Consider the following 798-nt stretch of genomic DNA (forward strand, 5'->3'; position numbering starts at 1 on the left):
GCCAAAAATAAGGAGAAAGCCACGAAGTGAAGGAAACCAGTGGCTGCCCTGGGGTATTCCCCAACAGTGGTGGCTTAGAGTTTCAGTTTTTTGTTTTTTGTTTTTGTTTTTTGGTTTTTGGTTGTTTTTTTTTTTTGAGATGGAGTCTGGCTCTGTCGCCCAGGCTGGAGTGCAGTGGCGCAATCTCGGCTCACTGCAACCTCCACCTCCGAGGTTCACACCATTCTCCTGCTTCAGCCTCCTGAGTAGCTGGGACTACAGGCGCCCACCACCACGCCTGGCTAATTTTTTGTATTTTTAGTAGAGATGAGGTTTCACCGTGTTAGCCAGGATGGTCTTGACCTCCTGACCTCGTGATCCACCTGCCTTGGCCTCCCAAAGTGCTGGGATTACAGGCATGAGCCACCATGCCCACCTGAGTTTCAGTTTTAATAGTTCACATGAAAATAAAGTCTACAGCCTGCACGAAGTGGAAAGAAATCAAATCAGACCTTTGTATCAAGTCAAGATCCCCAAAAGATGACATTCACTGTAGAAGAGTTGACTAGAAAAGAAAAAAAAAAGGTGTTCCACATAGGCAGATAAGAAAACTTGCTTGTTCTCTTAAGTCTTATTTTCTTAAGAGGTAAGTTTGACATCTTGCTTAAAAATTCATAACCACAAGTTACCCTGTCATAAGTTTGGGGCTGGAATCCAACCTACCTGTAAAGCCAGAAAAATCCAAGCTGAGAATGTATCATAGCATAGGTCCGGATTGTTAGTGCTGCCAGGTGTCTGGAGATAGCAAGCCCAGTTCCT

The 798-nt window shown here is 44.7% G+C and overlaps 1 annotated feature.

The window, feature by feature from the left end:
- Positions 239-448: an enhancer, noted in NCBI's record as "active region_27744". NCBI's record gives its function as "activates an Ori minimal core promoter by ATAC-STARR-seq in GM12878 lymphoblastoid cells {active_cell/tissue: GM12878}" and the evidence as "EXISTENCE:reporter gene assay evidence [ECO:0000049][PMID:35858748]".

The sequence above is a fragment of the Homo sapiens genome, chromosome 8 (genome assembly GCF_000001405.40).
Source record: "Homo sapiens chromosome 8, GRCh38.p14 Primary Assembly".
Taxonomy (NCBI): Eukaryota; Metazoa; Chordata; class Mammalia; order Primates; family Hominidae; genus Homo; species Homo sapiens.